This window comes from Homo sapiens, chromosome 22, assembly GCF_000001405.40.
Source record: "Homo sapiens chromosome 22, GRCh38.p14 Primary Assembly".
NCBI lineage: Eukaryota > Metazoa > Chordata > Mammalia > Primates > Hominidae > Homo > Homo sapiens.
The window spans coordinates 34,888,742-34,916,564 of NC_000022.11; the positions used below are offsets into that span (position 1 = coordinate 34,888,742).

The following is a 27,823-nucleotide window of genomic DNA, read 5'->3' on the forward strand; positions in this document are numbered from 1 at the left end:
GTAATCTCATGACCTAATCATTTACCAAAGACTTCACCTTTTGATACCATCACTGATATGGTTAGGCTTTGTGTCCCCACCCAAATCTCATCTTGAATTGTAAGCCCCATAATCCCCATAATGTCCACGTGTCAAGGGAGAGACCAAGGGAAGGTAACTGAATCATGGAGAAAGTTTCCCCCATGCTGTTCTCATGATACTGAGTGAGTTCTCACAATATCTGATGGTTTTATGAGACTCTTTTCCCTTCACTTGGCACTTCTTTTTCCTGTCACCTTGTGAGGAAGGTGCCTTGCTTCCCTTTCACCTTCCACCATGATTGTAAGTTTCCTGAGGCCTCCCCAGCCATGCTGAACTGTGAGTCAATTAAACCTCTTTCCTTTATAAATTACCTAGTCTTAGGCAGTTCTTTATAGCAGTATGTAAACAGACTAATACAGTAAATTAGTACCACAGAGAGTCGGGTGCTGCTATAAAGATACCCAAAAATGTTGAAGCAACTTTGAAACTGGGTAACAGGCAGAGGTTGGAACAGTGAGAAAGTTTGTAACTTCCTAGCAACTTGTTGAATTCCTTTGACCAAAATGCTGGTAGTGAAATGGATGATGAAGTCCAGGCTGAGGTGGTCTCAGACAAAGATTAGGAACTTCTTGATAACTGGAATACAGGTGATTATTGCTATGCTTTAGCAAAGAGACTGGCAGCATTTTGACCCTGCCTTAGAGATCTCTGGAAATTTAAACTTGAGACAGATAATTTAGGGTATCTGGCAGAAGAAATTTATAAGCAGCAAAATGTTCAAAAGGTGACTTGGGTGCTCTTAAAAGCATTCAGTTTTATGCATTCCAAAAGAGATGGTTTGGAATTGGAACTTATGTTTAAAAGGCAAGCAGAGCACAAAAGTTTGGAAAATTTGCAGCCTGACAATACAATAGAAAAGAAAAAAACATTTTCTGAGGAGAAATTCAAGCCAGCTTCAGAAATTTGCATAAGTAATCAGGAACCAAATGTTAATTACCAAAACAATGGGAACTGTGTTTCCAGGGCATGTCAGAGGTCTTTATGGCAGCCCCTCTCATCACAGGCCTGAAGGCCTAGGGGGAAAACGTTGTTTTCTGGCCAGGGCTCAGGACCTTGCTGCCTTGTGCAGTCTCGGGAGTTGGTGCCTTGTGTCCCAGCCATGGCTGAAAGGGGCCAACATACAGCTCAAGCCATTGCTTCAGAGGGTGCAAGCCCCAAGTCTTGACAGCTTCCATGTAGTATTGGTCCTGTGGGTGCACAGAAGTCAAGAATTGAGGTTTGGGAACTTCCACCTAGATTTCAGAGGACGTATGAAAACACCTGGATGTCCAGGCAGATGTTTGCTGCAGGGGTGGAGCCCTCATAGAGAACCTCTGCTAAGGTAGTGTGGAAGGGAAATGTGGGCTCAGAGCCCCCACACAGCATCCCCAGTGGGGCCCTGCCTAGTAGAGCTGTGAGATGAGGGCCACTGTCCTCCAGACCCCAGAATGGTAGATCCACCAACAGCTTGCACCATGCACCTGGAAAAGCCACAGGCACTCAATGCCAGCCCATGAAAGCAGCCAGGAGTGGGGCTGTACCCTGCAAAGCCACAGGAGCAGAGTTTCCCAAGACCATGGGAACCCACCTCTCACATCAGTGTGACCTGGATGTGAGACATGGTGTCAAAGGAGATCATTTCAGAGCTTTAAGATTTGACTGCCCCACTGGATTTCAGATATGCATGGGGCTTGTGGTCCCAATGTTTTGGTCAATTTCTCTTATTTGGAATGGATGTATTTACCCAATGCCTACACCTGCATTGTATCTAGGAAGTAATTAAATTGCTTTTGATTTGACAGGCTCATAAGCAGAAGGTACTTGCCTTGTCTCAGATGAGATTTTGGACTTGGAATTTTGGCTTAATGCTGGAATGAATTAAGATTTGAGGAACTGTTGGAAAGGCACGATTGGTTTTGAAATGTGAAAGGGACATGAGATTTTAGAGGGGCCAGGGGTGGAATGATATGGTTAGGTTTTGTGTCCCCACCCAAATTTCATCTTCAATTGTAATCATCATAATCCCCAAAATCCCCATGTGTCAAGGGAGAGACCAGGTGGAGATAATTGAATCACGGGGTGGTTTTCCCCATGCTGTTCTCATGATAGTGAGTGAGTTCTCTCACAAGATCTGATGATTTTATAAGGGGCTCTTCCCCCTTCACTTAGCACTTCTCCTTCCTGCTGCCTTGTGAAAAACGTGCCTTGCTTCCCCTTCACCTTCTGCCATGATTGTAAGTTTCCTGAGGTCTCCCCAGCCATGCTGAACTGTGAATCAATTAAACCTCTTTCCCTTAAATTACCCAGTCTCAGGAAGTTCTTTATAGCAGTATGGAAAGGGACTAATACAGTTCCCTTGGGGATCTGAATTTCAACAAATGAATTTTGGGGGGAGGCAAACATTCAGACCATAGCAAGTGGTTTAAGCAAAAGGGAATGTATCTCTCAATTAAGAAGTCCAATAGACAGTTCCTGGCATACCTGGATACAGGTATTGTACCCACTTCTAACTCTGCTTTCCTCCACGTTGGTTTCATATTGATACAGCCTCAGCCGTGCTCCCTTTTGGTGGCCAGATGGTCATTGGTGACTTCAGACTGCATATTCCCAGACTACTTGTGCCAAGGCAAATAACTTATTCTTCCCAATAGTTCTATAAATGTTCCAGAATTGAAATTAACTGGCTAGATACCCTCCCCTGGAGAAAGGTAGTAAGAACTCCATATTCTCTAAAAGACTAGTTGCTTCCCAAAGGAAATTGGGTGTGGTTACCCAAAGAAGAAAATATATAGGCTCAACAGGCAAAAATATACTTGTCTATTACAAGTTCCCTCTCTGTCTCTAGTCCTCCTTGCTCCTAAATTTTCACCTAGAGAATTGGGCTTCCACCAATACTAACCACCTGCTTTCTTCTTCTCAGTTTGTGGTAGCCTCTCTCTTACAATCTGTGACACTTTGAGAAGACCCACTAGCCACCCTCAGTCTGTGTGCCCATGGCCTGCTTACTTAAGCCACATCTGTGCAGCTTCCTGATCACACTCAGTGCTGGAGTTTTAGAGGTCTCAATACTGGACACCTCTTTCCTGCCCTGGTGCAAGACCAACTTAGAAATAAGCAAAAGGTTCAGGCAGTTGGGATTTTAGAAGTTCCCTTCCCCACAGACAACAGTTGTTGGAGAACAAGACTTAAATGAGTAGCAGCAATGGGTTTCCTAGTATTGCACATTAGAACTGGGCAGACTTCTCTACCTGGTCACACAGAGTGCTGAAAGCCTGCTGGCTTCCCCATGGAGCCTGCCCCAGAAAGAAAAAATTGAAAACATGAAAACAACTCTACTCCTACAGCATTCAGGAGTAGAGTTGTGCTTTCTGCAGGCAGGAAGGAATCAAGAGAAAAACAGAAAGTGGCCACGCCAGGGATGCCTAGTTCCTTCTCCCAAACTAACCAATCAAGTAAGTCTCTGCTCCCCCAGAGAAGGAGTGATGGACGTGTGAGGGAGAGATGCCTGTGTATTACACCAATGCATGCTCTTCTGCATGCAGTGGGAGACAAGAGTCCCCCCAACAATCAACCTGGGTCTGGCTTGTTTGTGCATCACTGGTGCTGTAATCCTGACAAAGAAAGCACCTCCTTTCCAATCATGTTCTCTTTGCAAGCAGCTGGAAGTAATCTATAGGGATGTTGTCACTCTTTGGACACCCCCAGGAAGATTCCACCTCCAATTCCACAAGTAGCAGGATGGGGCATGGGAAGAGGCTGAAGGGGAGGGGGCAAGTAGCTGATCCATTAAAATCAACTTGATGGCAGTTCCTTTTGTCTTCCAAAAAAACAAAGTGTGTGTACTACCAAAGATTTTTGCTGACTCTTGGCTTCTTTGCTTTTAGTGCTATTGTTCACCCTGGGGATTTATGGTAATTCTTACTCCCTAAAAGATATCTCTGTAAGAATGCCCATAAATTTAGGAAGAATTGTTTCGATTTTCCTTACTAATTATTTTGCCTCTCAGTTATATATCAGCAATTTTTAAAGTCATAGGATGTTTCTTAGATACAATGGAGTATGAGATACAGGGCTCTGGGATCCAACAGATACCTAATTAAGAGTAAATCAGGTAAAAGCACAGACGGGGAACCTACTGCACATAGAAGATTGCTCTACCTGCCATGGGAGGACAGCGGGGAACAGAAAAGTAGTGTCTGACCTTGAAGCAATAGCCATTCCCAAGGCTACTTCCATGAATACAAAATGACTTAGCAAAGCAAGGACATTTTAATACAGCAAGTTTTGTTTGGGATATTTCCAACTATATCAGACAGGGGTCTCTTGATGAGTACACAAGGGAGGCATTTCTTTCTGTTCTCTATACAAGAAAAATCTAGTAAATCTAGTATTTTACTGACAAATTATTTTGTTTGCAAACAATGAGCCATGAATATCATACAAGCTAATTTTGGTTTTCTTTTTTATTTTGGCTGCCAGGGAGCTCAAAACCAATATTCAACCCATTTCTAACAATTGTATAGGAGCTTGTAGCAGGCATTTTACATACTAATCTTAGCTTTCCTTGGTTCTCCAATCCTAATGGTCCCTTCATCCTAATTTGTTCATCCATTTATGGTGGCCTGCTCACTGGGTTACAGAGTCCCTGGCCTTCACAGGTTCATAATTTTAGAAAGCGGCCCCAGCTACCTTTCTCTGCTTCTCTGCTCAATTTCAGAAGATGTTTGTCATTACAGAAACCTGGAAGCAGCCCATGCTGCAGGTAAGGGGTAGCTGAGATAAGGCATGTTCTTGACTTTGGGTAGAACAGAAGAGACTAGAAAAAAATCCCTAGAACAAAGGCTGAGAGTAGAACAGAGTGTGCACAGCCAGGAAGGGTAATAAGCATTACAGAATTGAGTAGAAGTCATGAACAAGGACTTCCCAGAGCCTGGGTTGAGGTAAAGGGACAGAAAAGGATGGGGGTACTTACACATGCTGTGGAAGATGCAATACTGGGAAGGAGAACATATATTCCATGAAAGCAGGAGACATATTGTCTTGCCCATTACTGTCACACATGCCAAGCATGGGATTGCATTCAACTAATCTATTTTCAATGAACAAATGCCTCAGTAGGGATGGTTCATTCGTGATCTGCTTCTCTCTTGACACCTCTATACCTTGAATTCAACCTTCCTTTCATTCTCTGATGCAACAGTGTTGGAGAAGGCAAAGTAAATACAGTGACCTAGAATCAAAAGTTGCAATATTAGTGAGCCCTCAGCATGTTGGGCTAGCCAATGTACCAGGGGAGAGACTGATGCCATCTTACTTATGATTCTGCAGAGCTTAGCAGTTTAGCACATAGGCTGCAGATCCAGATACCTTGGGTTCATCTCCCAACTCTGATACCTGGCATCTGTAGGACCACAGCCAAGTTATATGAACACTCTGTGCCTCAATTTCCCCATCTGTACAATGGGGATAATAACAGTAGCAACTGAATAGGACTGTTGTGCAGACTGAGCCAAGATATGTGCCTGGTATATAATAAATACCATATAGGTGCTAGCCACTATTTCTAGCTAAAGACCTGGTCAGCTATGGCTCATACCTGCATGGTGATGCTATAAACTTTACTCTTTATAGTGAAGCAGACACTGGGAGCCAGGGTGGTACAGAGCATGGGAACAGAGCTATAGAGAAAGGGAAGAGGTCAACAGAATCGGGTATCAGTGAGGATGGGGTCAGGAAGGACAGAGTGCACCAGCAGAACACGCATCTGGGAATGTACCCCTCCAAGTCCTCACTGGCTGGGATTCAAACATGAGACCCAAGTCTCCAGACCAGTCTGGAAAGACCAAGTCAGAGGGCCAGACCTGGAGGGTCTGGCACCCAAGGAAGAATTATTGGTTCTTGGCTCCTTCCCAACATTCTGCTGGGGAAAAAAAAATCCTTAGTCCTTCCCTGGTGTTTTTCAAGGAACCACCATTCAACTAGTCATGTAGGCAAACACCTTAGAACCACCCTAGAGTTATCTTTTGCCCTCATCCCCAGAATTTCCACTGCCAAAGCCTAACCTACACCCAGCTACTTCTCTCTATCTCTGCTACCGCCACCATCACCTCTTGCCTGGGTAACTGGTCAGACCCTGCTTACTGGTCTCCCCAGAGCTTCCCCTTCTCTCCACAACCCACTTTCTGAACAGCAAGCAGGTGGATGTATTTTTTAGTGTAAATCTAATCACAACTTCTTCTACTTAAAACTCTACACTGGCTTTCTGTCACCCTTGGAATAAAATTGATGCTTCTTCCTTTAGCCCATGACGGCCTCAATCATCTGGGCTCTGCTGACTTCATCCTTCAACACGTTTCCTCTCTTGTACCATAATTTAGCTGCATATTCTTTTTTTTTGCATTTCCCAAACACACTAGGCTATTAGCACTCTGTGGCCCTTTGCATTGGCTGATCCATCTGCTTAGAACTTTCTGATTTCCAGTTTTTTCCCCCTAGATGGTTCCTTTTTGTCATTCAAGCCTCAGCTCAAATGGAAGACCTTCCCTAGCCACCCATGCTGGGGAAGCATCCAATTCCACTTTCTCTCGCCCTCCGCCCCCCACTTCATGGCACTGAAAACTAATAGGAATGTTCCTGTTTGTTTGTTTACTTTTTCACTGTGCCCCCAAGTAGAAGGTGAGCTCTATGGGAGCAGGGATTTTACCTGTCTTGCTATCTACTATTTCTCTAGATCAATACAGTCCCTAGAATAATACCCGGCACGTAGTAAGTGCTAAGAAAATATTTATTGTGTGAGCAACTTAATCAATCAGAATATGCCCCAGAGCCTGGGGTGTAGTCTTTAACCCTCTGTAATAGAGCAGACACTGGGAGCCAGGGTGGTACAGGATGTAGGAACAGGGCTATAGAGAAAGGGAAGAGGTCAACAGAATAGGGTATCAATGAGGATGGGGTCAGGAACTTGCATAAGCTTGCAGGTAAGTGTAAGGAGAGAGAGGACACAGAGACCAGCAGTCAAGCAAGACATGAGCAGCAATGTTCAACTGGATTGCAAGGTCACTGCCTTGGAGATGGAAAATCTATGTGTGAGGGAAGGTCAGGGCAGCTACTTGGATGGAGCATGTCAAGCTGACAGAGAGCCCATTTGGTCCATCCATCCTATCAACAAATCTCTAGGAACTTCTACCATGAGCAAGGCAGTAAAGTGAAATTTGTAAAAGACAAAGAAATTAGTGTACTTCGGTCCCTGCCTAAAGTAGGCTCCTGGGCTACTGAGAACTCAAGTACAGATGTGGTACTGTGTCGTAAGTACTATAACATTCAGAGTCTAAGGGAGCACAAAAGAAGAATTCCTCCCTCAAGTCCACTCGGGGGCCAAGGAAGGCTTTGCAGAGGAGGGGGCAATTGAGTTGGGCATTGATGGCCAAGGAGTTCCGGGGAAACCATGTTGAAGCTGGGAGAGTAGAACACCTGAAATCCTGTGAAATCCATAAAATTCGTTCCCTGGCTTTTTGGCATTATGCTTCCCCAGCTAAACACCCCCGGCTACAAGGTCTGCCAACTATCTGCCTTTTCAAATCATGCCTTTTATCTGAAACAGCTTTGAAGCTCCCTGGGCTTACTCTCTTCCATTGTTCAAAGTAACTACTGGAAACGCTACCTCTTGGCAGTGAACCGTCACTCTGATCCATCGCCAGTGGGAGGTTCAATTGGTACAACCTTTGGAAGAGTAATTTAGAAGACTGTTTCAGAAGTCTTTTTTAAATGGCCATGCATTTATTGTTCTGAATAATCCTGTTTCTGGAAATCTATCCCAAGGAAATGATCCTAAATTCGGAAAGAAAGATAAAAGCTGTATGTGTACGTGTTCACTATATATACTAGCTATATTAAGAGCAAGCTAAATGTTCAGTTATAAGGGAATTAATATTTTTAAGTGGTTCATGCAGTGGAATATTATTTAACCATCACAAAGGGCACTTTCTTAGAATATATAAGAGCTCAGAGAAATACTGCTAAAGTAATGTTACATGAAATAGGATTTCAAGACTTACGGGCAATATGAACACAACTATACAAGAAAAGTATGCCTTTGTCATCTTATGACAAAGGCTGGGAAATGAGTAGGAGGAATGTTTCATGCTCCATTACTGCATCTGGGGAGGTGTTTATTGGTGATATGCAGGAAGCACTGGGACTGTTTAAAAGGAATGGGTTAATGTGCTGTTGAAACCCAAACTGAAAGTGGCTCTTGCACTTGGGTTTTAAGTGCCCATTCTACTGATACAGCTTGTCTTCCCCTTCTGCCACCCAGACCCAACACAGAGAATACAAGCTTCCCCAGGGCATGAAAAGAGACAGAGACTGAGAAGGAGACATAAACATAAACCTAGCGGCACAGACACACAAACACTCTCAACAACAGGAAACTCAGAGGGATGGCACATTAGAGATACATTGAAGGAAGCAATATTGTCCATGGAAACCAGCTGATAAAGATCTAACTCTTAAAGCAAACTTGGAGCAAGTGCCTAAGTGATGACTCTCAATGAACTCATGCCAGTTAGAAGGTCTGAAAACAAGAGCCAGATCTTCCAATACTCCAATCTTCCACACTGAGCAATGTGGAACTCTCAGGAGAGTCCACATAGCATATCCTCAAAGACACAGATGCCACCCAGACCTGAATTTGGATAGGTCTGCCAATCTCACTGGCCAAGAGCTCACACCAGTTCCTTAGTGTGGGGAGCTGGAGATCAATAATGGAATCCTCTATTTGGTGTTTGTTTATGCTGTGGATGTTATGACTAAATTTTGTATATCTCCTATTCTGGAAGAATTTTGGTTTAAGTCATTCTGTTATTTTTACCTTTAAAAATAGAAAGCAAGGCAGGGCACAGTGGCTCATGCCTGTAATCCCAGCACTTTGGGAGGCCAAGGTGGGCAGATCACGAGGTCAGGAGATCGAGGCCAACAAGGTGAAACCCCGTCTCTACCAAAAATATAAAAATTAGTTGGGTGTGGTGGTACGCACCTGTAATCCCAGCTACTCAGGAGGCTGAGGCAGAAGAATCACTTGAACCCAGGAGGCGGAGTTTGCGGTGAGCTGAGATTGCGCCACTGCACTCCAGCCTGGCAACAGAGCAAGACTCCATCTAAAAAAAAAAAAAAAAAGCAAAACCTTTCTTATTCTAGATACATATATGTGGATACTTGAAATTATTGTAGTCAAGATTATATTCTCTAAAGCCACAAAAACAAACAACATAAAAGCAAATCTCCTTAAAGACTGTGGTTTTTTAAATGCTTATTTATACTGGGTGTAATATATATAAACATATATGTATGCAGGAGAAAAAAGGTGGTTAGAGAAATGTATTTCGGTGTTAACAGTGATTGTCTTTGGCTGATTAAACTGAATGATTTGTTTTATTTTGTTTTTCAATGTTTCTGACTTAGACCAATTTTTCTTATTTCTCATGTATTACTTTCATATTCTCAAAAGGAAACCTACTTCGCACATAGATTCTGTTGGAAGTTAATTGGCAGGGTGGGGTAAGGGGGTTTATAATGCTATTCCATATCCCACCATACAGTTTTGCTGGCAAACAATTCTCATCACACAAGAGCTGTCCCCCGGCTGCCTACACGCATTGCTAACACTTTATTTCCTTGTGTTTCCTGCTCTACTTGGACATAAATATGCCTGGCTCCAACCCCCACATTGCCCAATGCCTTCAACTCAGAACGTCTATCTTCTACCAGCTCTATCGCAATCCTAGACCTGATCAGGGGAAATTTAACAGCCTAGGCCAGCGGTTGGTGACCCAAAATCAATGATTCTGGCTGCTATTCATGTTGTGACCTCGATCCCTACACCTAGTAACTGGGCCATTCCAGGTATGAGCTATGGTAGATTGATTGTAGCGATGCCCCCAATTAAAGGCCTTCCTGTATCTATGCCCTTTCAAATGGGATATTGAACTCCCCACCACCCGACCACACACACACACACACACACACACACACACACACACACACACACACACACATCTAAAGATGGTGTCCATTTTTCTTACCTCCTTGAATCTGGGCTGGCTGTGTGAATTGCTTTGGCAAATAGAATGTGATAGAAGCATAGGCCTAAAGAGGATTTGTCCACTTCTGTTCTCTCTCTCTTTCTCTCTCTCTCTGTCCCCCACTCTCACACCTCTGCCATCATGAGAACATGCCCAGGTAGCATGGGACCACACCCAAACTAGCCTGCTGCAGGATGAGAAGACAGCCTACAGCCCACTATGCAGAGAGAGAGCCCTTCCAAGATCCACAGACTTCCTACCAAGCCCATAGATGACTGCAGAAACTACATGAGCCCATCTAAAAGCAGAAGAACCTCCCAGGTGACCAACAGATTCATGGCTGATAATGTTTCTTGTTTTCAACCACAGTTGTAAGGTGATTTGTCACATGGCATTATTGTGACAATAGATTGTGATACAGAGTTGATACTCCAGTTCCAATGATTGTCTTTTCTCCCAAATCATCTAAATCTCTGCCCAAAATGCAGGTCCATGCCCCAGTATCCAGAGAAACTTGAGTCTTGCCATGGCCCTAGAGTGCTCTCTGCTTTGGCCCCAGGGTCTGCCTGGCCAGATCCTTTCCTAGCCCCTCTTATCAAGACTTTCCAGACATAGTTCCTCTCTGGGCCACTGCCACCAAGCTCCATGTGACCTTGATAGTGACCATTAACCTCATTCACTGTGCACAGAGCCCATCCCACAGCCTGTGAACATGGATATACATGAAATGCTTAATGATAAGCACTAAATGTAGAATGATAAGAGCAATTGGGAAAATGAGGACAACCCATGGTTATTAAGCACACAGTCCGTGCCAGACACCATAGTCAATGCTTCTGCTTATCCCATTAATACAATGTCTCTAGTAGTAGATGTTATTATCCCCATTGTGATGAGAATATTGAAGTTCAAAGAGTTTGAGTAACTTGTTCAGGATTGCACAATTAATAACTGGTAAAAGTGTGATTTAAAAGCATGTTTGATTCAAAAACTCTGCTCTTTTCACAGTTGCCACGAGTATCAGTTAGCTATTGCTGAGGAAAAGTCCACCACAAAACCTGAACATCTATTTGTCACTGGTCTGGGGGATCAGCTGGAGTTTGGCTGACCTCAGCTGGGGTCCCTCATCCATCTGTGGCCAGTGGAGGTAGGGGGAGTGGTGGATCCACTCTAGGCCTGACTCTAGAATGTCCTGGTGGAAGCAACCTAGCTGGGATATAGCTCAGCTCTACATCCACAGAGGATGATCTCTCTCATCCTCCTACCTTTGGGGGCCAGCAGGCTAGCCCAGGCATGTTTTTCTCCTAGCAAAGGCAGCAGCACAAAGGAGCAGAAAGAGACAAGCAAGTGCTCTTGAGGCTTGGACTCAGGGCTGGCACACCATCACTTTGTCTTTTTCTATTAGCCAAAGTGAGTCACATGACAGAGCCCCAAATCAAAGGGTGGAGAAGCATGCCTACCTATAGGGTGAGAGCCCTGCTAAGTTACATTGCAGAGGCACAGATCCAGGGAAGGGTGAAGTATTGGGCCTATTAGTTAAACTTAGATATCATGTCCCCTTATACCTGTGAGATGGTGGCAAATGTGAATCCTGCAAAGCAATGTCTTGTGGGTCAAGAGCATGAGCTTGGAAACAGACTGCCAGGTTCAACTTGCAGTTCTGCCACCTTTTAGCTGCACAGACTTGGTTGAATTACGAACTTCTCTGTATTTCAGTGACCTCATCTATAAAATAATTAAGCCAACCTCTTAGCATTATTAATGAAGATTAAATATAAAGCACTTTGTTTATATGTATTATATGTACAGATAACATGATTGCCTATGTAGAAAATTCCAAAGAATCAACAGAAAAGTTCCTGGAACTAGTAGGTAATTATAGCATAATTGCAGAATACAAAGTTAATATACAAAAGTCAATTGCTTTCCTATAAAGCAGCAATGAACAATTGGAATCTAAAACTGAAACATACATAGCACTTAGTAAATGTGAGCTCTTATTACATAAAGAGGTTATAGGCACAGAGAGCAGGGTGCTTCCTCTTCTGTTCTTCCATTCGTTTGTCTCAATCTAAACCTCTTTAGGCCAGTTTCAGCCTCTAGCACTCAACATTGGTGTATAATCTCAAAGCACACTGATGAGTATTCTTTGTTATTGACCTCATTTTCCTCATGAAAAACTGAACTCTGGAGGAGATCTGGGCTTTATATAAGGTAACAAAGTAACCATCATCATCACCATAATTATCACCATCATAACCCTGGTCTTCAGGTTCTCGGTCTCCAGGCTCTTACCCAGCCAGTGAGCCATGCTGCTCCTTTAAATAAAATGAGGGGTTTGGAAGAGAAAATGAAGAGAAATCCTTGGGAAATTTGAGAGAAATGAGTAAAGAAAAAGAAAATATATCCTTTTACCAGAGTTTTCCTTCTTAACCCTGATTTGGAGTTGCTCTTTGCTCTGGAGGAGAGCTCTAGATGGGCTGGGAGATTTGGATCTCATTTGCAGTATTTCTCAAAAGCAGCTGTGCAAACCCAGGCAAGTCATTCTGCCTCTTTGGGTGTCAATTTCCTCCCTTGAAAAGTGAAAATGATGTCTCCCTGTCTGTCCTATCAGTGGTAAGGAAAATCAGATGAAATGATGGCTACAAAGGAGCTGTTCAAACTATAAAACATAGCATGGGCCGGGCACAGTGGCTCACGCCTGTAATCCCAGCATTTTGAGAGGCCGAGGTGGGTGGATTATGAGGTCAGGAGTTCAAGACCAGCCTGGCCAATATGATGAAACCCCATCTCTAATAAAAATACAAAAATTAGCCAGGTGAGATGGCACACACCTGTAGTCCCAGCTACTCAGCAGGCTGAGGCAGAAGAATCGCTTGAACCCGGGAGGCGGAGGTTGCAGTGAGCTGAGATCATGCCACTACACTCCAGCCTGGGTGACAGAGTGAGACTCTGTCTCAAATAAATAAATAAATAAATAAATAAATAAATAAATAAATAATAAATAAATAAATCATAGCATGAATGTGAGCATAAGAAAAAAAATGAAAAAAAAATCTCCAATGAGGTTGTGGCCTAGTCCTTTGCAAAGACATTGAAATTTGGTGTCCTGGTGACTTTCTACATAGTTCCTAGGGAGTAAAGAACATGTCTTCTACACACATACCCTCAAGAGCTCATTAATTGCACTGCTGGGTAGAAACACATGCATACACCTGAAAATCTATCACTTATGGTGCTCTAATAATACCTGAGTTTTGAAGCTCAGGAGAAGTCCAAAGCAGAGACTTGCAGGTACCTAGTGGTCCAATGGAGTGATTGTGCACCAAGGCTTTGAAGCCAAGAAGAATTGGGTTCAAATCATTGACTTACAGTCTGATGCTCAGATGCATTATTAGAGAAAAGAGGGCAGGGGATGATAATATCAACCTCATAGAGCCATTGTGCCGTATCAATATATATAAATATTTAAAATGAGATAATGTCTACAAATCTCATTGATTGAGAAAAAGAAGAGGGAGAGTGATATCTTAAGTGCCAATCCCTTGGTGTGTGTTACCTCCCTGGAATCCTTATAGAGTTCCTGCATTGTGGTATCAGTCTCCTTCAAAGCTTCCAGATCCTTGTGTGACTCATGCTAACACCTCTACAAATAGAGGGACCAAGGCTGTTAAAATGCTGCCACAGATCAGTTGGCTCATGGAAGGAGCCAGGAAAGGCTGAGGAAGGGAACAGCTCATACCATCATGGCACCCAACAGTTGAGCAGCAAAGGCTATGGCAAGAATAAGTGGAGATATTCTGAATCTTCAGCTCCCAGAGTCCCTCCAGATTTGCTTAGAGACTCACTCCACTCTATGGACCACAGGCACCGGGAGCACTTTCTGTGACAAAAGAAAATAAACAGAAGGATAAGTAAGAAGTACAATTTTAGGTTATTACAGAAGATTATCGCAAACAAATAGACCTAGGTCTAAATCTCAGCATGCAATTTACTAGCTGGATGGACTTAGGTGGGTCCCGTGACCTCTCTGAGCCTCTTATCTATAAAACAAGAATAATCAAACCTACCATAGGAATGTGCTGAGGATTAAAGTACATGTCACTTGTAAAACATCTAATCCAAAGCTGGTGCTTAATATATGTTAGTTCTTTCTTCTCCTCTTTCCTCTTAACTTCTTGCATGTGGAATAAATTATCAAATTAAATATATTTACATTAAAGGCAACATCCAAACAATAGAATTCAAAAGGAATGTAGGGAGAGGAAAAATTCACAGTATCCATTCCTTAGAACTTCAGTCCTTATTTTAAAAATAGATTATTACAAACCAATGGGTACTTTGAGAAAATCGTGTCTAATTCTGCCCATTTTGAAGACTGGAGGATGTAGAACTGATGCCCAGAAAAATAAAATGGCTTGAAAAAATTCACACAGAGAGTTACAGGCAGATCTTGTATTAGAACCCAGTGTATTAATCAGCTACTGCTGCATAATAAACATCCATCAATCTCAGCAATGTAAAACCTCCATTATGGATTCCTAGGCACCTACCTGTGAATTAGCTGGGCCATGATGGCCAAGATACTCTTCTCAGGGCAAGAGAAGCCCCAAGACAGCTCTACCGCCAAAGCACATTTCAAGCCTTTTCTTACATCATCTACTAACTTCCCATTGCCCAAAGCAAATCACAAGGCCAAGCCCCTCAGTAATGGGGTCAGGGAGTATGCCACATTCAGGGAGGATGACTCAGCCCAGGGTGTTCTTGTGGGAATGGTGAGAGATAGAGAGAGAATATAAATGCCTGCAGTACAGGCAGGTAACATGCAAGGGTGTAAGTGGGCCAAGACGAAAGGCAATAAGGAGAGGTAGGGCGTGTGGAACTGTGAGACCATGCCTTCAACTCCAACTGATTGTTGCTAGATCGTATCTTTCAAGAGATGCTGACATGAGGATCTCTATAAAGAAAGCTTCCTCTGTCTTAAATCAATGAGCAGGACAACAGAACAAGCTGATGGGCCACATTTCCTCGAGCCCTGCTCTTCACCACATTACCTGTCCCTAAGGTTCTTGTTGGTCTTTCTGTGACTGAGGATCTCAGTGTGAGTCCCTAGAAATATTCACAAGACTCAGATCATGGCAACAGGTGAAATGGCAGCCCTGCCACATCCTGAGTTGACAGTATGTAGCAGGTGTCCTAAGATTAAGCTGAGTGGTTTTAGGGAAGTAGGGGAAGGAGAAGTCTTACAAATTTAACTCTTAGAGGCAAGAGCCTTTCTTTCATCAGGGCTCCAAGCTACAGCAATTTGCACAAGGAGCAATCTGCACATTTTCATCCCGTCTATCTTCCCAGGTTATTAAATATTTCTTGTCTAAGCTAAGTCGACAAAGTTTCTTCTAACATCTGGAATTTTTAATATCTGAGACTGTTTTGGGGAACTTCATTGTATTCTTCTGCCGACAAGTAAAAAAAAGAATAATAGTAATAAGATGATGATGATGATAATAATAATAGAATAATAATGAGTCACCATATAATGAACCCTTGCTCTATGCCAGGCACTGTTATAAGCTCCTTATATGTACTGATATACTGGATTTTAATTATTCTATAATATAAATGTTGTTCTCCATTTTACAGAATAAGAAACTGAGACACAGAGAGGGGAAATAATCCAACTAATATTATTCAGTAAGTAAAGACATTCATTTTCCCCAATAAATAACTCTTACCAAGCAAGTGACCCACCCTTCAGAAAAAATCTGATGACATCCAAAATTGCCTTTATGAGTCACAAAGGCAGTTATTTATTAAATATCTACTCTGTGGTCAACATATTTTATTGAATTCTCACAATAGCACCATGGGGTGTGCCTAATCCCCATTTTCTCCATAGGAAATTAAGGCTCAGAGATTTGCAATCATTTCCCCCACTATCTAGATATAATTTGGAAGAAGAGGCTTTGAAACCCACATCGGTCTGGCTCCACTGGAAGACAGAGGCTCCAATTTAGAAATGAGGCCGCGATATTATGATATATGTATATGTTGGTTTTTGCCCACAGTTCCTGGCTCATAACTCACAGTTTTTTGTTATGATGTTGGGGAGCTTTAGGCCTCAGAAGCAGGCCTCAGAAAACAGAATCTGTCTCTCTCTCTGACCTTCCCCTGCCCACCTTTCACCAGCTCAAAGCAAGACTCCAATCTTCCCCTGCCTTTCTGATTGAGACCCTCGCTCCACAGAGGATCCTGCCTCATACCCTGGAGGGGAGAATGCTGCAGAGAGGCCCAATCATATTTTGACATGGTTGTCCATGTTTCAATCATGCCTGTGCAAAGTAGTCTCCACAAAGGGCCCAAGAGGACAAGTTCAGGAAGGTTTTGGATAGCTGAACACATGGAGGTTCCTGGAGGGTGGCCCGCCAGAGAGGGCATGCAAGCTCTGCACCCTTCCCCCATACCTCACCCTATGCATCTACTATCTGTATCCTTTGTAATATCCTTTATAATAAACAAGTACATAATTGTTTCCCTGAGTTCTGCAAGCAACTCCAGCAAATTAATCGAACCCAAAGAGGGAGTCGTGGGAACCCCAACTTGAAGCTTGTTGGTCAGAAGTTTGGAGGCCTGGACTTGTGACTGGTGTCTGAAGCAGGAGGAGGGTAGGGGAGAAGTCCTGTGGGACTGAGCCCTCACCCTGTGGGATCTGACGCTGCTTCCAGGTAGACAGAAGAGGTCAGATAAGAGATCTGAAAATGAAGAGATCGCATCTGCTCTGACAAAAGGGCATATGAGATGGTTTTGCCTGGGCCCTAAATCCAAAAAGCATTTTAACCAATCAACCCTTAGATACAGGGTGTCCTTAGAGGACACCCAGCTGGTGTCTGCTGCAGAATTGATTGCTTATTTGTTGGTGGGGAGAAACCCTTCACATTCGGACACAGAAGTCTTTTGTCTGTATTGATTGTGGTGTTGAGTAACAGAATAGACAAACACACTTTGAGTTTATGGGGTTTTTTCACCCACAGAGGCTCATAAATTCTTACTTACCTTCCCTCCCAGGCCTTCCCTCCCATCAAAGTTCCAGACTCATCACAGCCTCCCCAGAGCCTAAGCCAGAGATCCTGAAAGTCAGGTCCTGCCTTCCTCTGGCCTAAGCTGGAGATCCTGAAAGTCATGGTCCTGCCATGACCATGATAAAAGGTCATGGCCTTTTTATCTCACCAAGTGTGGTGCCTGCTCCTTCACATGCTTGGAGAAGGCTATGACCAGGACTGCTCTCTGACCTCTTGTCCTCTTGCTATCCTCAACTTCTCTTCAGCAACCCACATCCAGCTTGCCTTTTAATACTGCAATAAGGTCGATCTCGTAAAATCATGGGCTTCTAGAAACTTTGCTAGCATAATGAAACTTAGAGATGATCTAGTCTACCCTCTTAGTTTATCAGAGAAATTATGAGGCTTCCTGAAAACGCCAGCCCACACTGATCCCTAACCCTCCACACTCTCTTTTGTGTGGATTTTATTGTTGTTGTTGTTGATACCATGCATATGAGCACTATATATTTGTCTTATATTTTTTCTGATGGTCTTTTGTGTATCTTGTCTTACAATGACAACATCAAACAATCAGACCTTCAAGCCAGAGAAGCCCTTATAAATTCACTGGGCAGAGTACCTTCATTTTCCTGCTGAAGAGATGAGTAGAAAGAAGGACCAAGACACACCCAAATCCCACCACCTCCAACACTGGAGGAGCACAGACCAATGAATTTTAAGACCAGCCCCCTTGTACTCTACCAAAAGTAGGTGACAACTTCCATTGGCTTTACTTCCTAGAGTTGTCCAATAAAGACCAGTTGAATAGAGTGTAGAGATCATCACCCATTCAAGGTAACCAAACCAACTCTGAAACCAACAGGCCCAGCAATGAATGCTTAGAGGCAAGAGAGACTGTATAGAAGAATACATAGGTGCAGAGTGAATACACTAAAAATAATACTAGCTAAAATGTATTGAGTCCTCAGCAGTTGGCATGTATCAACTCCTTTAATCCTCACAATAATCTATGAAGGAGGTTGATATAATTTGGCTGAGTCCCCACCCAAATCTCATCTTGAATTGTAGCTCCCATAATTCCCACGTGTTGTGTGAGGGCCTCTGTGGGAAATAATTGAATCATAAGGGTGGTTCCCCCATACTGTTCTCATGGTAGTGAATAAATCTCATGAGATCTGATGGTTTTATAAGGGTTTTCCCCCTTTCGCTTGACTCTCATTCTCTTTGCCTGCCATCATGTAAGACATGCTTTTGCTTCTTCTTTGCCTTCTGTCATGATTGTGAGGCCTCCCAGCCATGTAGAATTGTGAGTCCATTAAAACTCTTTCCTTTATAAATTACCCAGCCTTGGGTATGGCTTTATTAGCAGCATGAGAATGAACTAATACAGAGGTATTATTATTATTCCTCTTTTACAGGTGAAAAAACCAAAGCACACAGAGATAAAGTACCCAAAGTCACACAGCCAAAAAGTGGCACAGCCAGGACTCAAGCCCAGCCTGTCTGGGTGCAGAGCATGTACCCACAATCCTTGCACCATAGTCTCTTGATTAATGCATCTCCTCTCACTGTTAGCTCCTTGAGAGCATGGGCACTGTCTTGTTCACTACTTTATCCCCAGCACACAGCAAGGCAGCCAGAATTGAAAACTTATTGACCTAAATCAAACTGAACTGAAAAGTCTTTATCACATGGCCAGGAGAAAGGTGCCATCATCCACTTGCTAATAGGGTGATCCAAAGAAAGTAGCTTGATCTCAACTCCTCTCAGTATATATAAATGGGGACAGTAGTACCTACGTCATTGCATTAACTCCAGTTGTATTTAAGATAATGTTTATAAAGTGCCCGGCACATGATAAGTGGTCAACAGTGGTAACTGGTGTTATTAATGGTGGCAGGGAAAGCAAGACAAGAAAATAAACCCCACTGGTGCTGGGACTATGTATGTGCTCAGAAGAGGTCAGATCAGAGATCTGGAAATGAAGAGATCACATCTGCTTTGACAAGAGGGGAAATGGGAGGGTTCCCCTTGCCTGGGCCCTAAGTCCAAAAATCATTTTAGCCAATCAACCCTTAAATACAAACTCTCACATGAATCTCAGAGTCCGCCTAATTTATGTAGGGAGTAGCCATGCTCTGAAATCCAAAGACATCTAGACTCAAGGTCTGACTCTATCAAAGACTTGCTCTGTGACCTTGGACAAGTCACTCAGCCTCTCTGGGCCCCAATTTCCTCATCCATAAAATAAGGCATTTGAACTAAATGATCTCTAGGCCTCTTTCCAGCGTTACTTAATAATCATGCTAAACGACTGGAAACAAAATGTCTTTCAGCCCATCTGGCTCCTTGGTGGAAGAACCAACACAGGACTTTATGAGTCAGGGCTTGGGAGCAAGCTCTAAATGGAGATGATAGCTTTGGGGAGGTTTTTGTTTATTGTGATGATAACTCACAGTTACATGGTGTTTTACCATTCACAGCACCATTTTCTGTAGATTCTCATTTCATCTGCTCTACAGCCCCATGAATCTGATCATCCTCACTCTGTAGAAGAAGAAGCTCATTCTGAGAGTGTATCAGGAATTTGTTCAGCTGCAAGTAACAGCTGGCCTGACCCATGTGGTTTAAGAAAAGAGGAGTTTATTTTTATCTAGAATTAGTCAGGGATGGGCCAGGCAATGGCGGCAGGGCTGGTGTCTCTGATTCTCTTGCACTTTCCTTTTAATCATAAAATGATCCAGACATCACATCCATGGTCAAGGCAGGATGCAGGGAATGAATGAACTAGTGACAACAGCCTCCCTTCCCAGGAAGCAAGACTTCCCCAGAACCCCTCCCAGCATCCTCTTTGCTCATATTTTATCAGCTCACACTATCACAGCTTTGGCCCTAGTTGCAAGGCAATCCGCCATGGTTCTTTTACCTGCCTGTGTTAGTTTGCTAGGGCTGCCATAGACAACAAAATATCACAGACATGGTTGCTTACACAACAGACATTTGTTGTCGCACAGCTCTAGAGCCTGGGAAGTCCAAGATCAAGATATCAGTAGAGTTGCTTCGATCTGAGAGCTGCGAAGGAAACCTCTGTTACAGGCCTTGCTCCTTGGCTTGTAGATGGTCATCATCTCTCTGTTTCTTTTCACTTCATCTTCTCTTTCTGCATGTCTCTGTGTCCAACCTTCCCCTTTTCACAAGGACAAGAGTCATATTGGAATAGGCTTCATGCTAATAACCTGATCTTAACTTGATTACCTCTGCAAAGACTCTCTCCAAATAAACTCACATCCCTGAGGAACATCAGCATATGAATTTGAAGGGGAGGGGAGCACAATTCAACCCTCTGTAGTGGAGGCAGCTAGGCAGTAGGGTATTGGCCAATAAACAGTGTCTGTCTTTGAGAGTTAAGAAATTTGCTCAAAACTAGTAAGTGGCAAAACTGGGACTTGAATTCAGCTCTTGACTAGAAGTTTAGGGCTCCTTCTCCTAAGACCTCCTACCTCTCATTTAGCCTCTCATTAACAGGAGACAGTAGTTCATAATGGTGCAGAGAACACGCTCTGGATTCAGATTCCCTGGGTTAAAATCTACACTCACTGTATGACCTTAAGTAAGTTACCTAACCCCTCTGGCTTCAATGAAAGGGAGACTCATTCACGATTTAACAAATAAGGATTGAGTTTCTTGTCTGGCACTCTTCTCAGTGCTGAGAGTGACCACAATAGAAATAAAAGCACCTATTGAATAGTGTTATATTAATTTGATGAGACAACTCATGTAAATAAAATATTTAGTTCTACAGTATTAGTAGAACTAATACTACTAATACTAGTGGTATAGCACATAGCAGGCATTCAAGAAATGTTATCATTATCATCACAGTAATTTTCATTAGCACTCTTCCTCTCTCCTCTTTCTGGAATTTCTGAGATTGTACTTTACACTCTGGTCACTGCGTATATCAGGACAATGGATGTAGGTGAGCCGTGAACACTACCGCTGGCGGACACAAAACCACAGTGTACAAGGTACCCTGGAAGCTGCCTAATACTCCACCGTGAGATGTGTGTTTGCTGGCCCAGAAGTCTGGAGAAGGAAGTCACTTTCCCCTTGATGCCCAGCAGAGCAGAAATGATGGAGGCGCCAAGACCAGTAGCCTCCAGCAATCAAAAGACGATGGGGCTATCACTGCAAGTTTGGCAGTCATGGGGAAAGTGAGCCAGAGAAAGAAGACAGAACTTGAGACCCTCTGGAAAGATAGTAATGGAAAATAAATGATTCATTTCATAACACTGGGTCCAGAATATGATGTTTCAACTGGGACAGTTAAGGTCTGTATCAAAGGAGGAAAGGTAGGACTGAATGATAATGACCTTGGAAAGAAAGGAGGAAGGGAGCTAATATTTAGCATCATTCTACTACGTGTCAGACGCTATATACCACATCTCCTGAATCCCCATGACAACCGAGAGAGGCAAAATGGTATAATAGATAAGAGGGAAACTTATGAGAACTGTCAGATAAAACCCAAATATGAGTTCCAGCTTGGCTATTTGCCATTAAATACTGTGCTCTCTCTGGAAAATTACTTAACCTTTCCGAGTTGGTTTTCTTATTTGTTAAGAATGGTAATGACCAACATACCTAATAAATTTTAAAAATGAAGGTACATGCTTAATAAAGAGTAGTTCCTGCTTTTATTATTTTTTGTTCTTTTTCCTATTATTACTGCTACCATCTCAACTAGTAAGTAGATTTTTGTGCCAAAATTCTGAATAATCCTGATATTCTGCTAGAAAGCTTCTTGGCTATTTGCATATGATGATCCATCTTTTACTTCTGAACATATAGAAGAGGCGAGTAAATTCTAAGAGCACTTAAGCCATTTTGTTCCAAGAAGATAATTTATATAAGTTATAGCAAGCAATTTGGAGGAAAAAAAATCAGAATAAAGGAAGCACTCCCTCTGAGGGCACCCAAATGATAAAGCCAAGTGTAACTGTCAATCTGTACTGTCAATCATTTTGGGTATAAAGGAAGAGGTGGGGCTGCTAAAAATCAGAGAAGCTTTGGTCCTCCCCCCACTTTCTTAGCCCCGCCTATCCTAGTCCCCACTCTCACCACCCACCTAAGGTGGGGAGAGGCCCCCAGATCTGCTGAGATGAAGAAGACTTCACCAGCAGAGGGCTGATAATATTAGATTTTTACTTAATAGGATCTTGGATGAAAAACAAAGAGTTTTTTTAAATAAAACACTTTATAATAAATGTCTGTCTCTCGACATTCCAAACCTTTTACTGAGTATCCTCTGAAAATAATAAATTTTGTGACTGGCAGGGAGAATTTTTGGCCAAAAACACTCCTGACACATAATCCTCCCCATTCTCCACATAAGGAGACGGGGCACAGAGAATGTAGACAATGTGCCAGTTTGTGGTAGACCTGGCTTTTGAGGTCACATGTGTCCATCCCCAAAGCCCATGTTTTATTACACCTCACTCATTTCCTTTCTTTAGACAGAAAACCTGTGGATTCAGCAGTCTCGGGGCCTAGGACTTGTGTCTCAGCCTTGAAAGACAGGTCTTACCTAGCACATGGGAATAATGATAATGGCTAACCTGCACATGAAAACCTCCCAAATGCCAAACGCTGTGCTAATTTTTAATGAGAATTATTTAATGTTGACAACTCTTTGACGTGGGAACTGTTATCATCTCTAGTCTATAGAGGAATCTGAAATTAAAGTGCCAAGTCATACAGTTGTGACTACTAAGCAGAGACAGGACTTGAACCCCAGCAGAGTATCATGGATGGGGACCCAGGCTCCTAAACAGCACACACTGCTGCCTATGGTAATAATGTACCTACATGGTGCTGGGAAAGGCTGTTTATGGAGAAGATGGACAGGACCTGTCTCCCTGAGACTTGTCAACAGTGACTCACTCTAACAAACATCAGTAAAAATCATGTAGTTATCAACTGATGAGCACGGCTTCTCTACCAGAGAGTGTATCCCCAAAGCAGGAGAGACCATGAAAGGGAATGAGTTGGGGAAGGAGGAACCACATGGGGTGTGCTAGCTACCGAACTAGCCACCATCAGGAACAACCAGTTCCTCGATCTTGCGGGCCCATCCTCTACAAATGCATCTTGGGATGCTTTACCAGGAGGTGGGAGAGGAGTAGGGAAGAAGAATTTACCCCTTGACTCCTACAACCCATGGGTTAAGAGTTCATCCTGGGGTGAAGTGGGTAGAGAAAAACAACACTTTCAAGTCTCAAGGTGCCTGACACTTCAGCTTCAACAGGGAAACTCTAGGGCTTGAAGCAAGAGGCTTGCAGCCCTGAACATAGGAGAGGCACGGTCAGGTTGAACCAGCATGCAGCTGGTCAAAATCCATATAGTGTAAATAGCCACAGCCCAGTGCAAAGTGAAAATGCAGGGCCCCTTGTTCAAAATGATTACAAATTTCAAAACGGCTATGGCAGAGCATTCAAGCAAGCGTGTAGCGCTTCAAAGCCAGGGCCCTGTCCAACTGCACTGACCACATAGCCATGAAGCAGGCTCTGCCATGTACAGTTGATCACCACAGGGGCAACTGGGGCCAGAACAAAAAGCCCTGAAGACAGGTAGACAGGTGAGGCTGAGAGCACCTGAAGTGGCTTCTGAGATGGGCTCAAGGCAAGGCTTGATGAAAGGGTGAGAGGAGAGAAGCTTAGGGCATAGGGTGGGGCTAGAATGTGCTGGGACTTGGAGAAATTGGTTTCCGTCATGTACACAGATCACTTACAGAAGTCAGCACCTGTGAGAACAACCTCTAGGTTGCATGTGTTATATAAAAGGTTAGCAGTCCAGGTAGTAAGAGTAGAGATTACCAAATGAGAACTAGATTAGCCAGAAAAGGCCTCAGGGAGGCTATTAGATGCTACTTGGGGACAGAAAAAGTGGGAGAAAGCAAGCAGGGGTCATTCCCATTAGTTCTTCCCAAGTACCCGGTAAAATCTGGTGCCCCCTGGCTGGTAGCAGACACCTGTGTCCATAGAAGTTAACAAGTAAAAGCTTTGCCTGTGTGCAGCAGACAAGGGGGACGGCTCTCATTTGCAGCTGGGACTAGAATATCTCTAAAGTAAGAGTATCGTTTCCTACTGGAGTACTCCTTCTCCATTATCCAGCTGAGCAAGGCGCTCTTGCCCTCCCACCTCTCCTCAGCCTCCACCCACTTGGTCGCAGGCAGCAGCAAACTTATTATGTGATTGTACAAGGACTCAGCTATGGACCACTTGTTCTTCAATTTTTCATAGCCAGGCAGCTTTTTATCTTTGAAAGGTTGGTTCTCATTATTCATTCTCCAGTTTCCAACCTTGCATCAGCCCTTAAGATGTGATATTCGACACTATCGTCCTAATAAGATTCTGAAGTTCCCTCCAGCATGTGTTAGGGTCTTCTGGGCCCACCCCAAGCTGTGATATCTTTAATTCATACCCATCATTCTTGGACGAGGTCCTAGTACCCCTTCTCCACATCACAGCTCCTCTGAAGCTCACCCTAGTCTCATGAATGGGAACTAGCTCTCCGTAGTTCAATAAAAGTAGGGCCTTCATATTCGGGGTCAGGCTTTAGCTGTTTCCAAAAGAAGACAGTCACATAGTTCTAATGCTTTCCCTCTCTATGATTCTATAATTTAGATCTAGGTTATATGCAAATTTGGGATCCTGAGGCCCAGTCAAGACCACCAGGTTGCTGTGACAAACTGGATCCTGGAATCATGAGGCAGGTGAGAGTCTTGTGGTTCCCAAGCCACAGCCCTTCTAGTAGTCGATGTGCTCTACCTGAGTACATACTCGAGTTTGTCTGGGTGACCTGCATCATATCCCAATGCCTCTCAAAATCTGGGGCTCACCTCAGACCCTTTATAGGGGCCTCATGTCATTTCCAGTGTTTGTGGGTCTCCTCCTCTCTGGTACCAGACCTGTCTGTCCTGCTGTAGTAGAATACTCACCACTAATTTCCACCAAAGCCCCCGTGGTTCTCACAAGGTCAGCCTCTGCCTGTTATCCCCATTGCTCATTGCCGCCCATCTGTTTGGCTACTTCAACAAGCCCTACTGCCAAAATTGGGTCTGAGATGGATGCAGACCCTATGCCTGGACTTCCCAGCTGTCCTTTCTGGAGCCAGCCTCTGGGCTGGGCCAACTTCCCCAGCTACTATCGTACCTGGCCCCAGCTTGCTCCCCCTGCTTGTAGAGCCTGTGCTGCCAAGACCCCAGCATGCCAATTTCCAAACCCATCTAAGCACCTTTCTTCCTGGAATACTTTATTAATCATGTCCAACACCAAGCACAGAAATCCAGGAGAGAGAGAGAATTAATGGGAGCAGGAACTCCACTGGCATCGCCAGCTGTGGATTTTATTTGGCTTCATTCATTTATTCATATTAAAAAAAATTTATTGGCCAAGCTCCCCATGTCAGACATTAGAAAACAGCAGTAAACAAGAGGGAGAGGTTCTGTCTTCAGCACACTTGGAATCTAGTAGGTAGAAAAGACTTTAAATGGAGTCACACAAGGAAATACACAGCAATTACATTTGTGGTGGATGCTAGCAAAAACTGCATGACCCTGGATTGTAAAACACAGAGGGATCCATTGCTGACTAGCCCTTCGTTATCCTCAACTGACATCACAAGGAGATGTAAACTGAAATTCTCCCTAATTCACAAATTCTTTGGCATTATTTCCAATTGTCCTTAACTTTGGTACAGGCATAATTTTATGATTCAAATAAAAATAAAAAGCAAACTACAACCTTCTGATTACTGCCATCAGCTCTAATAATAGCTTTGAGCTCCTTGAAAAGAGGGAGGGGGAACAGAAGAAAACTCTCTGGATAGATAAATGCCAAGCACTGTTTGATGATTGTAGTTCACATTACAGAGGCGAGGAGAGGAGCCAGGAAGCAGAAGTCAGGCGCCTTTGGGATTTCACAGGCTGGAGACCCCATGCATTTTTCTAATTCCAATAGGATAAGCCTCAGAGGCCCTTAATGCAAGATGGGTTTTGAGTGTTTCCAAGCTTCCTGAGAAAGATAAAGCCTGCCTTCTTCATCAGAATTATTCAACTGTGGTGTAACTGCTTAGCAAGGGAATGGGGAGGGCTTATAGGACTCCTGTAGCTCCTCCTACCCACCCTGAAGATTTGCTTGTGGCTAATACTACCCTGAGCACACCACATTTTCTTTCTTGGCCTCTCCACATCTTATCTTCCCAAGACTGGCTTCCCATGCCTCAAACCGCACATTGCAGACAACTCCCTTTCCTCAACCCTCCTGAGAAGCACCTCTTCCCTATTCCCTTACTCACGAATTCCAATTTTCTCAATGAGACCTGCTCCTGGTAGAGGCCAGGAAAGCAATCAATCCCAGGAAACTAATTTGAGCCATTGACATACTCCAAGGCTGTTTTCTTTTTAAAAAGGAGTGTTGCCTGAGTTCTGGTCTCAGCTTTGCCACTTATTATGTGTGAGCTTAAGCAAGCCTCCTGGCCTTAGTAGCTGCAGGTTACTCATCAGTAAAACAGAGATAATACCAACCATACCATGAGGTAATATAGTCCAGGGGCTAAAAGTCTAGCTTCCCAAGTTTGAATCCCAGCTCTGCCACTCCCTAGCTGTGAGATCTCAGGCAGATTACTAAAACTCTTCCTACCTTAATTTCCTCATCAGTAAAATAAGGATAGCAATAATATCTACTTCAGAGGGTTTTATGAGGATTTAATGATATGTAAATATATAAAGCTCTTGGGCCAGTGCTTATGCTTTAAGCACTATACAAGGGTCTGCTATTCATAACAATGGTATTATTATTACATGCACTGAAGCATGAATGTGCTAACCAAATGTGGGAAGAGATGGGACAATGCTCTTTGTACTCCAAGGGCAGTACTTACTTCAAGAGAGATCTCAGAACCTGAGCTCAGTGTATGGATGTCCTAGGAGGAAAGGAGCAAGATAACTGAAAGGAAAAAAATTGTAGTCAGAGACGGATCAGCAGAGGTCAGAGATGAAACAGACTCAACGCTTCTTGAGGACAGGACTGTGTCTATGCTATGGTCTAATGTTTGTGCCCCCTCCCCGAATTCATATGTTGAAATCTTAACCCCCAAGGTGATGATATTAGGGGTTTGGGGGAGGTGATTAGGTCATGAGAGTAGAGCCCTCATGAACAGGATTAGTGTCCTCCTAAGAGACCTTGCCCCTTCCACCCTGTGAGGACACAGCTAGAAGGCACCATCTATGAACAAGAAAGCAGGCCTTCACCAGACACTGAATCTGTTGGCGCCATAATCTTGGACTTCCCAGTCTCTGAAACTGTGAGAAAAAAAAAATTTGTTGTTTATAAGGCAACAAGTCTAGGGCATTCTGTTGTAACAGCTTGAATAGACTAAGACAGTCTATTTTTACCACTATTCAATCCACAAAGCCCAGTGTAGGGCCTGGCATATAGTTGATAGATATGGAAGAAAAGAAGGAAAAGAGGAAGAAAAAGTAACAAAGAGGAAAGGAGGGAGGGAAAGGAGGGAGGAAAGGGAGGGAGACGGAGGGAGGGAGAGAGGGAGGGAGACAGAGGGAGG

The 27,823-nt window shown here is 43.5% G+C and overlaps 1 long non-coding RNA gene across 1 annotated transcript in view, besides 1 other annotated feature; it reads right to left on the reverse strand.

Annotated features, from left to right (window-relative positions):
- Positions 1 to 27,823, reverse strand: part of LINC02885 (long intergenic non-protein coding RNA 2885) — a 241,252-nt gene that overhangs the window by 132,077 nt on the left and 81,352 nt on the right. Inside the window, exons 2-3 of the long non-coding RNA NR_138042.1 lie at positions 13,882 to 14,022; positions 9,095 to 9,215 (exon numbers count right to left, since the gene is read on the reverse strand). This is a non-coding gene — a long non-coding RNA (long intergenic non-protein coding RNA 2885). The remainder of the gene's footprint in view (positions 1 to 9,094; positions 9,216 to 13,881; positions 14,023 to 27,823) is intronic.
- Positions 15,545 to 16,745: an enhancer, noted in NCBI's record as "CDK7 strongly-dependent group 2 enhancer chr22:35300277-35301476 (GRCh37/hg19 assembly coordinates)". NCBI's record gives its function as "activates an origin of replication core promoter dependent on BRD2, BRD4, P300/CBP, MED14 and CDK7 cofactors, with strong dependence on CDK7, by STARR-seq in HCT116 cells {active_cell/tissue: HCT116}" and the evidence as "EXISTENCE:reporter gene assay evidence [ECO:0000049][PMID:35650434]".